The sequence below is a fragment of the Homo sapiens genome, chromosome 3 (assembly GCF_000001405.40).
Source record: "Homo sapiens chromosome 3, GRCh38.p14 Primary Assembly".
Lineage (NCBI taxonomy): Eukaryota > Metazoa > Chordata > Mammalia > Primates > Hominidae > Homo > Homo sapiens.
The window spans coordinates 35,452,324-35,468,150 of NC_000003.12; the positions used below are offsets into that span (position 1 = coordinate 35,452,324).

Below are 15,827 nucleotides of genomic sequence, written 5' to 3' on the forward strand. Positions count from 1 at the left end.
TGACAAACTAGAAGAAGCTCATGTGTGTCGCCTTCACGGAGAAGAAACAAAAGGGCTAGTGAACACTGACCCTGCAGGCCAATTATCTGAGAAACCATGTTGGGAACCATCAAAGCAGGAGTGAGACACAGAAAGCACACAGGAATGAAGCTTGACACCAGATTGGGCTCAGCATGGAGCCAGGAGAACCTCTCCAACATGGGAAAGGGTGAGTAAGAGACCCCAGGGAGATTCATGCGCTCCACAGAGACCTGTGTAAGACTGGAAATGGGAGAATCCCCTGCTCCACACCCCGTACCCTCCCGGCATGCTTCTAGACTGAGGCAGAGAGCCACAGGACATTTTGCCCGGGCAACTCTTGAGTCCAACAGGACATTTATAAGCCTCGTGCCTTGGAGCAGACCAGCACCGGTGCCATAGCCCAGTAGAGACTGCAGTTGTGGTGCCTGAGAGCAGTAAGATTGCTCCACCTCTAGCTCCTCACCAGATGGAGCTGACAGCTTTCTACTCAGTGGTCCCACTTTGGCCTAAAGTCAGCTGGACACTTTACACACCCCTGCCAGTGGTGGTCAAGCAGACAATGCCTGCTAGAACTTCTGGCCCAGTAGTCACACTTCTGTGTGGACCCAGTCATAGGGCACAGCCTCTTGTTGTTGTGGGACATGCCTGGACTGCAGGGCAGGTAACTCCAGCCACCCCCACCAGTAGAAGCCAGGTGGGCAATGCCTGCTAGAGTTTCTGGCCAAGTGGTCCATTTCTGTGGGAACTTAGCTAAAGCGCAGCCTCCTGTTGTCCCTGGAAGCACCTGGACGCACCTGGACAGCAGGGCAAGCGACTCCATCCACCCCTGCTGCTGATAGCCAGGCTGGCAATGCCTGCAAGAACTTCCGGCTCGCTGGTACTGTTTCTATAGGAACTTAGTTAGTGGGCAAAGCCTCCTGTTGTCTGAGAGAGCACCTGGATGGCAAAGTGGGTATCCCGATTCAACTCTACCACTGGAAGCCAGGTGAGCCACGCCTCCTAGAGCTTTCAACCCAGTAGTCCCACTTCTGCCTAAATTTGCTGAAGGGTACACCCTACTATTGCCCTGGAAACATGCAGACAGCAGAGCAGGCAACTCCACTCACCCCTACCTTTCACAGCCAGATGGGCTATACCTGCTGGAGTTTCCAGCCCAGGGAGCCTGCTTCTGCCTGAGCTCTGTGGGCAGGCACAACCCCGTGTTTCCCCAGGAAGCACACGGACAGCAGATTAGGGCTGGCACAGCAAGGATATAGCTTGTCTGTCCACTGTGGGTCCTGCCTCAGGGAGCTCCATGAACCAGAACACCCAGCAAAAGAAATGTAGGCAAGGAGATAGTAATCAGAGGGGCCTCCTTCATGATCCAGGAGTGCACTATAATCAAAACAAGTCAACAGAACCCACCTTATACCGTAACCAAACAATCAAGAGCATTGAAGAAGATAAAAATGAATGAACAAACACATCTAAAGGATAGCAACATCCAACACTGAAGGAATATTAGCTCACACAGATGAGAAAGGACCAGTGCATCACAATAGTTCCCCAGCAATGGTTCTTAACTAGACTGAAATGACAGAAATAGAATACAGTAAATGAATAGGAATAAAGATCATATTCAGGAGATAGATGAAACTCAATCTGAGAATTCTAAGGAATATGATAAAACAATGTAGGAGATGAAAGGTGAAATGGCCATTAAAAAAAAAACACAACAAACTGAGCTGATAGAGCTGGAAAACTAACTTCCAGAACTTCAGAATACAGTAACAAGCATTAAGGGCAGAATTGACCACTGAGGAAAGAATCTCAGAGCTCAAAGATCTGTTCTCTGAAATAACTATCAGACAAAAATAAAGAAAAAACAATAAAGAAGATCGGAAAAAAAAAAAAAAAAACACTGACAAATATGGAATTATATAACAAGACCAAATTTGCAATGCATTGGCACCCCTGAAAGAGAGAAAGCAAGCAACTTGGAAAACACATTTCAGGATATCATTCATGAAAATTTCCCCAACCTTGCTAGAGAGGCCAACATTAAAATTCAGGAAATGCAGAGAAGCCTTGCAAAATATTATACAAAAAAACCATTCCCAAGATACATAGTCATCAGATTCTCTAAGGCTGAAATGAAACACAAAATGTTAAAGGCAGCAAGAAAGAAGAGGCAGATCACCTACAAAGGGAAGCTCATTAAACTAACAGCAGACCTGTCAGCCAAAACTCAACAAGCTAGAAGAGATTGGAGGCCTAGGTAGGTGGGTGCTGGCAGCCAAGATGGCCGAATAGGAACAGCTCCAGTCTACAGCTCCCAGCGTGAGCGATGCAGAAGATGGGTGATTTCTGCATTTCCATCTGAGGTACCCGGTTCATATCACTAGGGAGTGCCAGACAGTGGGGGCAAGACAGTGGGTGCAGCGCACCATGCGTGAGTCGAAGCAGGGAGAGGCATTGCCTCACTCGGGAAGCGCAAGGGGTCAGGGAGTTCCCTTTCCTAGTCAAAGAAAGGGGTGACAGACAGCACCTGGAAAATCAGGTCACTCCCACCCTAATACTGTGCTTTTCCAACAGGCTTAAAAAACGGCGCACCAGGAGGTTATATCCCGCACCTGGCTCGAAGGGTCCTATGCCCATGGAGTCTCGCTGATTGCTAGCACAGCAGTCTGAGATCAAACTGCAAGTTAGCAGCCAGGCTGGGGGAGGGGCGCCCGCCATTGCCCAGGCTTGCTTAGGTAAACAAAGCAGCCGGGAAGCTCGAACTGGGCAGAGCCCACCACAGCTCAAGGAGGCCTGCCTGCCTCTGTAGGCTCCACCTCTGGGGGCAGGGCACAGACAAACAAAAAGACAGCAGTAACCTCTGCAGACTTAAATGTCCCTGTCTGACAGCTTTGAAGAGAGCAGGGGTTCTCCCAGCATGCAGCTGGAGATCTGAGAACAGGCAGACTGCCTCCTCAAGTGGGTCCCTGACCCCTGACCCCCGAGCAGCCTAACTGGGAGGCACCCCTCAGTAGGGGCAGACTGACACCTCACACGGCCGGGTACTCCTCTGAGACAAAACTTCCAGAGGAACGATCAGACAGCAGCATTCACGGTTCACGAAAATCCGCTGTTCTGCAGCCACCACTGCTGATACCCAGGCACACAGGGTCTGGAGTGGACCTCTATCAAACTCCAACAGATCTGCTCCAAAGGAACGCAGTTCCTCACCAGCAATGGAACAAAGCTGGATGGAGAATGACTTTGACGAGTTGAGAGAAGAAGGCTTCAGACGATCAAACTACCGAGCTACAGGAGGAAATTCAAACCGAAGGCAAAGAAGATGAAAACTTTGAAAAAAATTTAGACAAATGTGTAACTAGAATAACCAATATAGAGAAGTGCTTAAAGTAGCTGATGGAGCTGAAAGCCAAGGCTCGAGAACTATGTGAAGAATGCAGAAGCCTCAGGAGCTGATGCAATCAACTGGAAGAAAGGGTATCAGTGATGGAAGATGAAATGAATGAAATGAAGCGAGAAGGGAAGTTTAGAGAAAAAAGAATAAGAAGAAATGAACAAAGCCTCCAAGAAATATGGGACTATGTGAAAAGACCAAATCTACGTCTGATTGCTGTACCTGAAAGTGACAGGGAGAATGGAACCAAGTTAGAAAACACTCTGCAGGATATTATCCAGGAGAACTTCCCCAATCTAGCAAGGCAGGCCAACATTCAGATTCAAGAAATATAGAGAATGCCACAAAGATACTCCTCGACAAGAGCAACTCCAAGACACATAATTGTCAGATTCACCAAAGTTGAAATGAAGGAAAAAATGTTAAGGGCAGCCAGAGAGAAAGGTCGGCTTACCCACAAAGGGAAGCCCATCAGACTAATAGCAGATCTCTTGGCAGAAACTCTACAAGCCAGAAGAGAGTGGGGGCCAATATTCAACATTCTTAAAGAAAAGAGTTTTCAACCCAGAATTTCATATCCAGCCAAACTAAGCTTCACAAATGAAGGAGAAATAAAATCCTTTACAGACAAGCAAATGCTGAGAGATTTTGTCACCACCAGGCCTGCCCTAAAAGAGCTCCTGAAGGAAGCACTAAACATGGAAAGGAACAACTGGTACCAGCCACTACAAAATTATGTCAAATTGTAAAGACCATCGAGGCTAGGAAGAAACTGCATCAAGTAACGAGCAAAATAACGAGCTAACATCAAAATGACAGGATCAAATTCACACATAACAATATTAACTTTAAATGTAAATAGACTAAACCCTCCAATTAAAAGACACAGACTGGCAAATTGGATAAAGAGTCAAGACCCATCAGCGTGCTGTATTCAGGAAACCCATCTCATGTGCAGAGACACACATAGGCTCAAAATAAAAGGATGGAGGAAGATCTACCAAGCTAATGGAAAACAAAAAATGGCAGGGGTTGCAATCCTAGTCTCTGATAAAACAGACTTTAAACCAACAAAGATCAAAAGAGACAAAGAAGGCCATTACATAATGGTAAAGGGATCAATTCAACAACAAGAGCTAACTATCCTAAATATATATGCACCCAATACAGGAGCACCCAGATTCATAAAGCAAGTCCTGAGTGACCTACAAAGAGACTTAGACAACCACACAATAATAATGGGGGACTTTAATACCCCACTGTCAACATTAGACAGATCAATGAGACAGGAAGTTAACAAGGATACCCAGGAATTGAACTCAGCTCTGCACCAAGCGGACCTAATAGATATCTACAGAACTCTCCACCCCAAATCAACAGAATATACATTTTTTTCAGCACCACACCACACCTATTCCAAAATTGACCACATAGTTGGAAGTAAAGCTCTCCTCAGCAAATGTAAAAGAACACAAATTATAACAAACGTCTCTCAGACCACAGTGCAATCAAACTAGAACTCAGGATTAAGAAACTCATTCAAAACCACTCTACCACATGGAAACTGAACAACCTGCTCCTGAATGACTACTGGGTACATAACAAAATGAAGGCAGAAATAAAGATGTTCTTTGAGACCAACGAGAACAAAGACACAACATACCAGAATCTCTGGGACACATTCAAAGCAGTGTGTAGAGGGAAATTTATAGCACTAAATGCCCACAAGAGAAAGCAGGAAAGATCCAAAATTGACACCCTAACATCACAATTAAAAGAACTAGAAAAGCGAGAGCAAACACATTCAAAAGCTAGCAGAAGATAAGAAATAACTAAAATCAGAGCAGAACTGAAGGAAATAGAGACACAAAAAACCCCTCAAAAAATTAATGAATCCAGGAGCTAGTTCTTTGAAAGGATCAACAAAATTGATAGACCGCTAGCAAGACTAATAAAGAAGAAAAGAGAGAAGAATCAAATAGATGCAATAAAAAATGATAAAGGGGATATCACCACCAATCCCACAGAAATACAAACTACCATCAGAGAATACTACAAACACCTCTACGCAAATAAACTAGAAAATCTAGAAGAAATGGATAAATTCCTCGACACATACACCCTCCCAAGACTAAACCAGGAAGAAGTTGAATCTCTGAATAGACCAATAAAAGGCTCTGAAATTGAGGCAATAATTAATAGCCTACCAACCAAAAAAGTCCAGGACCAGACGGATTCACAGCCGAATTCTACCAGAGGTACAAAGAGGAGCTGGTACCATTCGTTCTGAAATTATTCCAATCAATAGAAAAAGAGGGAATCCTCCCTAACTCATTTTATGAGGCCAGCATCATCCTGATACCAAAGCCTGGCAGAGACACAACCAAAAAAGAGAATTTTAGACCAATATCCTCGATGAACATTGATGCAAAAATCCTCATTAAAATACTGGCAAACTGAATCCAGCAGCACATCAAAAAGCTTATCCACCATGATCAAGTGGGCTTCATCCCTGGGATTCAAGGCCGGTTCAATATACATAAATCAATAAATGTAATTATGAGCTTTTTTTCACATGTCTGTTGGTTGCATAAATGTCTTTTTTGGAGAAGTGTCTGTTCATATCCTTCACCCACTTTTTGATGTGGTTGCTGGTTTTTTTCTTATAAATATGTTTAAGTTCCTTGTAGATTCTGGATATTAGACCTTTGTCGGATAGATTGCAAAAATTTTCTCCCATTCTGTAGGGTGCCTGTTCACTCTGATGATAGTTTATTTTGCTGTGCAGAAGCTCTTTAGCTTAATTAGATCCCATTTGTCAATTCTCACTTTTGTTTCAATTGCTTTTGGTGTTTTTGTCATGAAGTCTTTGCCCATGTCTATGTCCTGAATGGTATTGCTTAGGTTTTCTTCTAGGGTTTTTATGGTTGGAGGTTTTAATTTCAGACAAAACAGACTTTAAACTGACAATGCTGGAAAAAGACAAAGAATGGTATTACATAAAGGTAAAAGGCTCAATTCAAGAAGAACATTTAACTATCTTAAATATATATGTACCCAATCCAGGAGCACTCAGATTCTAAAGCAATTTCTTAGAGAGCTACAAACAAACTTAGGTAACTACACAATAATAGTGGGAGACTTTAACACTCCACTGACAACATTAGATCATTGAGGCAGAAAATTAACAAAGATATTCAGGACCTGAACTCAACACTTGAGCAAATGGTCCTAATAGGCATCTATATAGAAGTCTTTATCCAAAACCGACAGAATATCCATCCCATCTGTACATGACACATACTCTAAAATCAACCAACCAATAAGACATAAAACAATCATAAAACCAAGATTATACCACCCACTATCTTAGACCATAGCACAATAAAAATAGGAATAAATATTAAGAAAATCGCTGAAAGTCATATGATTACATGGAAATTAAACAACATGTTCCTAAATGACTTTTGGGTAAATAATGAAATCAAGGAAGATACCAAGAAATTCTTTTAAACTAATGAGAACAAAGATATAACATACCAGGATCTCTGGGACACACCTAAGGCAGTGATAACAGGGAAGCTTGTACCACTAAATATCCACATCAAAAAGTTAGAAAGAGCTTAAAACAACAACCTAACATCACAATTGGAGGAACTAGAAAAACAAGAGCAAACCAACCCCAAAACTAGCAGAAGGCAAGAAATAACCAAAATCAGAGCTAAACTGGAGGAAATTGAGACACAAAAAGTTATACAAAAGATGAACAAATCCAGGAGTTGGTCCTTTAAAAAAATTAATAAGATAATTAAGCTAGACTAATGAAGAAAAAAATCCAAAAAAAACACACTCAAAAGGACAGGGAATAATAGATTCTGGTGAGGATGGATGAAGGGAGCCCTGGTACACTGCTGATGGAAATGTAAATTAGTACAGCCACTATAGAGAATAGTATGGAGGTTCCCTAGAAAACTAAAAATAGAACTGCTATATTATCCAGCAATTCCACCACTGGGTATATACCTAAAAGAAAGAAAATCAAGAAAATCAATATTTCAAAGACATAATCTGCAATCCCATATTTATTACAGCACACTATTCACAATAGCCAAAATACGGAATCAAGCTAAGTGCCCATCAGTACATGAGTGAATAAAGAAAATGTGATATATATATATTTATATATATATTTATATATATACACACACACACAAATAATGGATTACTATTCAGCCAAGAAGATAATGAAACCATATCATTTGCAGAAACATGTATGAAACTAGAGGCCATTAAAGTGAGATAAGCCAAGCACAGAAAGTCAAATGCCACATGATCTCAGTCATATGTGGGAGCCAAATAATAAGTGGGTCTCATGAATATAGGGAGAAAATTGGTTACGGAAAAAAATAATTGGTGATTATCACAGGCCAGAAAAGTGAAAAGGTAGGGAAGAGGTGGAAATAAAGAGAGGTTGATTAACGGGTACAAATATACAGTTTGGTAGAAGAAATTAGAGCTAGTGTTTGACAGATTAATAGGATGAGTATAATCTATTGTATATTTCAAAATAACTAGAAGATATATATATATATATCACATTTTCTTTATTAGAGAGGTATATAACACCTATCAATATTTTTTTAAACAACTTGACAATAAATTATTTCAATTACGGTTTCAGGAGTAGACGAGTCCCTGTAGCTGTATAAAACGTAAACATCAAATTCATATAATTAAAAATTAATTCTATTCAACCATGTGAAATATGGCCACAAAACCAATTTTGAATAAAAACCTATACCATGTTAAAACACGAAGTGACTAGTACAATCAGAATCTGAGGGGGAGGAGAAGTGAGAACATGTGAGAGTGAAATATATTCATCTTTCATTTATAGTATTGATTGATGCCGCTAAAATTGAAACATGTAGTTTCATAAAAGAGACCCCAACTTCTTGATTTTTTTCTTCCTTCCCTAACCTAAAAGAGATTGTTTAGGGAACTATATCACTTGAGATGAAGACACATATTTAAAGTTGAGCAATTTCTTCATTTTCTTTTTGTCTAATAAAAACCAGAAAATTAAGTTTGTGCTTATCATTTAAATGATTTTGGTAATATGATCCAATTTTAATAAAACATTTCCATTTCTCAATTTATCTATTTATATATACTTTAAAATATGACTGAAATCACATTCATCAAATGTTAATAAAGGTTATTTCTGAGTGATTGAATCTGGACTGATTTTTTTAACCTTTATATTTGCTAATTTATGTATTGCTTAAATTCTTCATAAATAGTATACTAACTTTTTTTAACTGAATATAGAAGAATACTATTTTTTAAAGTGAAAGCACACATGTCAAGATTGTATGTTTGTGTTACATTAGCTATATGGATTGTGTGGGGTCTTGTAATTTTTTTATAATTCTAAATGTTTTTAACTTTTGTTAAAAATAATACTAAGAGAAAAGATTCAATGCAAATGGCACAATTCCTCCCTCCCAGCAGGCTCTGTAGACTGACATGAGTGTCCGTTCTTTGAATACACTAGAAAATGATCCAAACAAGCAAAAAATGGATTTTGTTTAGGTTATAAAGAGGGAAGATTTACCTTATGGCACCTGATTGGTTCACAGAGAAGTGGTTCAGGAAGAAACTCACGAAGTGAAGTCACAGCCAGGATTCTGATGCTGCCACCACTGGATGCTAACCAGCATGCTGCCTGATTGTGGCCCCGTAACACTCACCATTGTGCTTTCATTTATACCATGGCCATAATCTCTAATTGACCTGCAACTTTGGGTTACCCTTTGAAGATTCATATTCACGAGCGGAGCATGCAGGTAGTTGGGTTTTGGTTTTGTGCCCTGGCCTAGATGCAAAGGGGTGTGGATAGGAACCATCTTGCTACCTCTTATTTATTTTAGTATTTCTCCCAAAAAAAGAAGTGTCCAAATGACAGGCCTTATAAGTTACATCTTTAAGAAAAGACAAAATGCCAACTATCCCAGGCCTTTTCAAATTTAATGTGCACAGGGATCAGCTGGGTATCTCATTACAATGCAGATTCAAATTCAGAAGGTCTGGGATGGGGCCTTAATTCTACATACCTAACAACCCCTCAGGTGATGCTGATGATAATGAAACACACTGAGTATCAGGGCCCAGCACTACTCTGTCTGCTTCACCGTACTTGGCATATTCTACTTTTTGTTATAATCTCTTTGTCCCCAGCACCCAGCACAGGAACTGGAAGAGCAGGTGCTCAACTGTTGGCTGAACAACTGATTGAATGACTGATTGACTGAATTAATGACTCCTTATCAATGTTTAGGTCCAATATCAAGTTGTATTTTCCCTATAAAACTTTCTCTCATCTCCAAAGGTTTCTGAGTCATGAATAAAACTTCTTTCTCCAATTCCTATAGTACTTATCTTTTGACTATACAGCCATCAATAAATTATTATATCTCATGTAGAAATACTTTGTTCCTTAACTAAATGTAAAATGTCATATAGCAACCAGCTGTGACTAAAAAATTTATTCCTACTGAGTTTGTGATAGACTATGTTTATGTCTATACTCTGGTACTTCTGTGGAGTCTTGATTAAATTATTTAATCTTCAAGTCAGGTAGCACAGTAATGAATGATGTCAACTAATGATTTGATGTTCCATTTTAGTAGATTCAACCTTTAATACTATTCATCTTTTTTAATGAGGTGCAAACAAACAGTACAGGTGTCCTCTTTTCACCTCCCAATTCTATTTGCCCTGGCTCTCCTTCTTAACAGGTTATAACAGACAGTTAATCGATCAATGTGTGAAAGTAGTCAGGAGGAAGAAATAATTCTTGATTGTTTTCAACATCCTAGTCATTAGCATTTTTGTTTCATAATTATATAGCATATTTTGTATTCAGATTTATTGGAAATCATAATTGATCTATGTAATAATGGGTGGGGGCTAGTAAATAAAGAATATAAAATACCTTAATTTAGATAAAATTCTGATTTTAGGACCCTTAAGCTTAGTTAATGTAAACATTTCTAATTTTTTTCTCTTCCAAATTTCCTTTTTATATAGTTTCCAAATGCTCTTTTTAGAGAGCTTGTTTTTCTCTCCTTTCATGTCCAACTGCTTTTTGTTTTCCCAAATTCTCTTATTAGCTCTCATTCTGTTTTGGTGACCACCACTATACAAACGAAATGTATTATGTTTTCCAAACACTTTCTCAATGTCATATCCAAATGTTCATCTTTCACGTTTATGCTGCTTGTCAATTTGATTAAGTTTACCTCCAGTATCTGTCCTCAAAACCCTCCTAAATTCAGCTTCTTGGTCGATAATTTCCTTGCTTTGGTTCTCACTAATGATCTAACTAATCCTCTGATCTTTGTCTTTTCCACCTTATCTCTGCCACTAGAAATGGCCATTCTACAGATTGCTGAACCTTATATAAGATAACTTGTGAACCTGATATTTACTTCAAAAATTTCAATTACTTCTACTATCAAAAGAATGAATTAAACGCTTCTTTGTTTTGAATTCGAGACCTCTATGTTCTAACCATATAGTACCTTTCTTGCTTTATAGCTATTAACCTTTCCTTAAATCAAAATTCCCATTTCTCATCTATTACCCATTCTGCGCTTTTGAAAGTTGAGTCATTATTCAGTTCTCAACACTAATGCTCCCTCTTTCTTAAAGCATCTCCTAATTACAATAGCAGGAATTAAACTTTCATTTTTTTGTTCTCTCACATATTTTTTAACTTTTCATGTTATCCTACTACCAATGTTATTTTTACTCTGCATTATATTTAGTTATTTGCATGCAAGCCCTTCAGCAAGATCTTTGTCTAATCTTTTTATAACTCCCCAAAATACCTAGAATACTGTTTTGCAAATATTAAATACTATTTTTTGTTGAAAAAATAGAATGAGTGAATTAAATTCCTTTGACTGATTTTTAAGACAGACTCATTGAATATGAATTATTTTAATATGACCTATATTGAAAATTCTGATTAAACTTATAATTTAGCTTCATGAAAGCTGAAAATTGGATTTTCCATTAATTTCCTATTACTTAATTTCCCACGTAATTTTCTATTTAATCTATAGGCTACTTAGATGGGTTAGTACTTGTATTAGTCCGTTTTCACATGGCTGTAAAGAAATACCCAAGACTGGGTAATTTATAAAGGAAAGAGATTTAAGTGACTCACAGTTTCACATGGCTGAAGAGGCCTCAGGAAACGTACAATCATGGTGGAAAGTGAACGGGAAGCAATTATCTTCTTCACAAGGCAGAAGTGAGAGCACAGGACAAAAAAAAAACCTACCACTTTAAAAACCATCAGATCTCATGAGAATTCACTCACTCTCACGAGAACAGCATGGGGGAAACCGCCCCTATCATCCAATCACCTTCCTCCCTCAATACATGGGGCTTACAATTAGAGACGAGATTTGGATGGGGACAGAGAGCTCACCAATATCCGTACGTTCCTATTTATAGTAGACTATTGGCATAAAGACTGAAGGCATACAGTTATTCAGGTAAGAAGAATGATATAAATAAGTAAAAGTGGACAGGCATGCAGTTATTCAGATAAGAAGAATGATATAAATAAGTAAAAGTGGACAAACACAAAAACTGTTAAGAAAAGATGAAATGCAGATTTAATTAAAATATGAAGAAAGATAGATTTATCCATAACGAACATGCAGGTAGTCAAGTTTGGCTTTGCTTGAACCTAGACTTTATTCAGTGTAAAAAGTGCTTAGTTAACACTTGTCTGTGTCACAAACTTATGGATCCATGAGTTTAAATATTCTACCATGAACCGGCCAAGTGGATGTGACAGGAATGTTTTGGTTTGCTTTATATGGGCAAATATATGTAAATATCTTAATTCAAATCTTCCCTGCTATTAAGAAATTTCTTTCTGAATCATTTCAACCCAATACACTTGATCAAAAGACCAAAACAACAGGCCTAGCTGTATCTACCAGACATGACAGGATACAGGTGTTTTTAGTTTTTTCCCATCAATTTTTGGAATATGGCTCTATTAAAGATTAAACACAAAAAAACATAAAAACAGACAATTTCAACATTGACCTTCAAAAAGTAGATTAAAATGAAACATTAGTATTCATATTATTTTGGTATATAATGGGCTACTGCAAGGATGACATGAGTTCTTGGTATTTACTGCTCTCCTCTTAAGGTTTTTTCTTGTACTCATCATAGAACTGAGGTCAAGAGGCAAACTGTCACCCCCATATCTGGAAAGATGGAAGCACCCAGAAAGATACAGCAGAAAGATCCGCTTAGCTGGAGCAGAAGGTGTTCCAGCCGAAGCTGCTTAAGCCATAAAATGGTAAGAACTCTTAAATAGTAATTTTGATGAATTGCTAAAGGCTGAGTGTGGAAGAGAATGAGACTGAGAAACTTCTAGGGGCTGCAGTCTTCAGAGAAGCTCTACACATTTGTGGATTTTCCCTCCAGGAACTCTACCAGGTTCTCCATAATAGTAAAGAAAAATCCTCTCATGGCCCTGCCAAGGGTGCAGAAGAATAAGCTGTTGTTCAATTATACCCAGAGCCTCCCTCACAATGAAGTGTTACTCTCCAGGGAAGAATTTCACAAAGCACAAGATTCAAACCTTATCCCAGCTGGTAGAAGAAAATTCTTATCCCAGCTGGAGGAAGGAAATCCTATCCCATGTTGTGGAAGGGAATTCCTCCCCACTCTAGTACTTCTCAACTTTCATGATAAAAAAGGTATAAAAGGCATATTGCTTTTCTCCTCACTTCAGGTACATAGGTAAGTAGATAATTTGTTTTAATGCTTAAAGTTTATAATACAATTTATTTTATCTGAAACCTATTAACAGCCACTAAAGTCCTACATTTTAAATTTAGACTTTTTTTTTTTCTTAAAGCCCCTAAAAGTGAGTTTTTTTGTTGAAGTTAAGACAACTTGGATACCAAATAGAAGACAACAATGTGAGCAAATTATCTTTCTCTTGTTAACTGGACTATTTGTTTGAGTTGTTCAAAACTCACCAATTTATGTTTTTTTAATATGGAGGAAATTTTTAAATGCTACTCTTATTGGAAAAATGAATTGTATATATTAAAAATCGGAAGCAACACAAAGTATATAAGTCAGAAAGCAAACCGCACAAGATTTTATCCTACAGAAATATCCATTTCCAACATTTGAAGAACATTATTGGAGGCACTGCTGTTTACATATAAAGACAAAGAAAAGAGAAAGAACGGAAGGAGCGAAATAAGGAATTTAAAAATAAAATCATAGACATGAGATTTCTATAAACGTTCATTAAACTTAATTAAAAATTAAAGAATATACAAATGGCTACCAAATACAGCAGATTAAACATTTTAAACTCTGTTGACTCTTAAAAGATTATTAAAAGAACAGTACATGGCACAAAAATGGTCATAAACTTGGAAGCGGAAAGAAAGGAGGCAAAACAACAGGAGATGAAAGATATCAACAAATTTTGGAGTTTAGAAAGCAGATGTTAGAGGGATTAAATTTTAAGCATTTATAAATCTTAAAGCTGAGTCTCTTGCAAAAAAGTGCCTAGGATACATGTAAGAAATAGAATTTTATATATATATATATACACACACACACACGCACATGCAGAAACACGGAAACATGCAAAGGCTCTCATTACAAATTTCAAAATGGTGAAGCTAAAAGATCAGTTATGAAAATAGCATAATAATTCTCAACAGCAGCACTAAAATTTAGGAATTTTTGAAGCAATAGATTGAAAGTGAAATGATTTGTCTCCTAGAATCATGTACTCACCGGAACAATCACTCAATAGTAATATGTGAAATGTCTTAAAGTTTCTTTCCATGCACCCATTAACCAGAAAAAGTTAATGAAGAATTATTTTACCCAAAAGAAAGAATCAAGAAGTGGGAAGATATGTAACTTAGAAGTATGGCTTTCAGAATGTAAGGCTGGAGAGGGAATTTCCAGGATTTTCATAAAAGGGAAATCTGAGACTGTTGTAGAGCAGGTCTAGAAAACAAGTGAATCTGAGATTTATCAGTGTTAAGTTCACAAGGAAGTATGCAAACGAAGGAATATGTGAGGACATGAATACTTGGTTCAAATTTGCATAATATTTCTAATAAGTTCAGTTTGTACAATGATTAAATGAAAAATTGACAATAACTACAGTGTGGTATGTTGAGAAGTTAGAGGTTAAGAATTCATTTGTGGAGGGGGGAGTAGAGAAAGTTACATTCTCCTTATTTATATTACATGAGCAAAAGACAACATGTGACCTGAAAAACGAATGTGTTATAGAAACTATGAAAATTAAAAACGGCTAAAAACAAACGTTGAAAGTAGTAAATTCTAGGGTGTGCGGGGAAGCAGCAGAGCTAGCTGGGACAGGGAAATGCTATCTTTTTTTTATTGTCAACCTTGTAGAGAAAATTTTAAATATTATGCACGTGCATTTTATATAAAAATCAAATTTCAAAAAACAAAGAGTTAAAATGAAGCTTAAGGGATAGCTGAAATTCAAATATATGGTTTTCTACCAGAACATTTGTTCCTAAATTTATTTTTTAAATTAAAAATGAAAAGCTTTAAGTAAAATATGGAATTTAAGATCGCTCAATTTTTTTCTATCTTAATGCTAACAGATTTACTGACCCTGTCTTAGTTATAATAAAGAATTAAATACTTTTAAACTATCCCTGACATTCTTCTCTCCTCTACCAGTTTTTGGTTGGTGATATCATTACTTTAACAATCAGGATTTATAGACTTTATGTTTGGTTTTCTACCCATATTTGAGGAATAGGTTAGTTTTAGTTTAACATGTAAATTCATTACTGTGTACTGCTAGTCCTTTTACTATGACTTTGATATTTCTGAGTTCCTTATTTGTATTCATCTTTTGGGTTGTTTTGATTTCATCTCATCGTTTTGTTATTGTTTTTGTTTTAATTCAAAAAAGACAAACTTAAGGCATATTTCCTAAATCCTTCGTGTTTTACCTTGCTAGATCATCTTTACAACTGAAGCATATTTTGGTTGGATACAAAATTCTTATGTCATATTTTATTTTTTGATACTAGCTATTACTATAAAACCATGTTCCTCTGTGATCTCCGGATGCTAATTATTATCATATAGGTGCTGTCACAATTCAGATATCTCTGTTCCTGTTTTTCTATTTACTTAATTTCATTTTTAGGAATAATATACTTGCATCACATATGCTCATTTTTCTTCATCTTTCTTCGTATTTTTTTATGTCATCTCCCTTTCCTAGAAAACTTGTTTTCACTATTTTTTCCTAGCACTATGGAGAACTAATTGAATTCTTTTG

The 15,827-nt window shown here is 37.5% G+C and overlaps 1 annotated feature.

Annotated features, from left to right (window-relative positions):
- Window positions 2,355-2,855: an enhancer, noted in NCBI's record as "H3K4me1 hESC enhancer chr3:35496170-35496670 (GRCh37/hg19 assembly coordinates)". NCBI's record gives its function as "activates a minimal SCP1, AML or CMV promoter by ChIP-STARR-seq in primed H9 embryonic stem cells {active_cell/tissue: H9 hESC(primed)}" and the evidence as "EXISTENCE:reporter gene assay evidence [ECO:0000049][PMID:30033119]".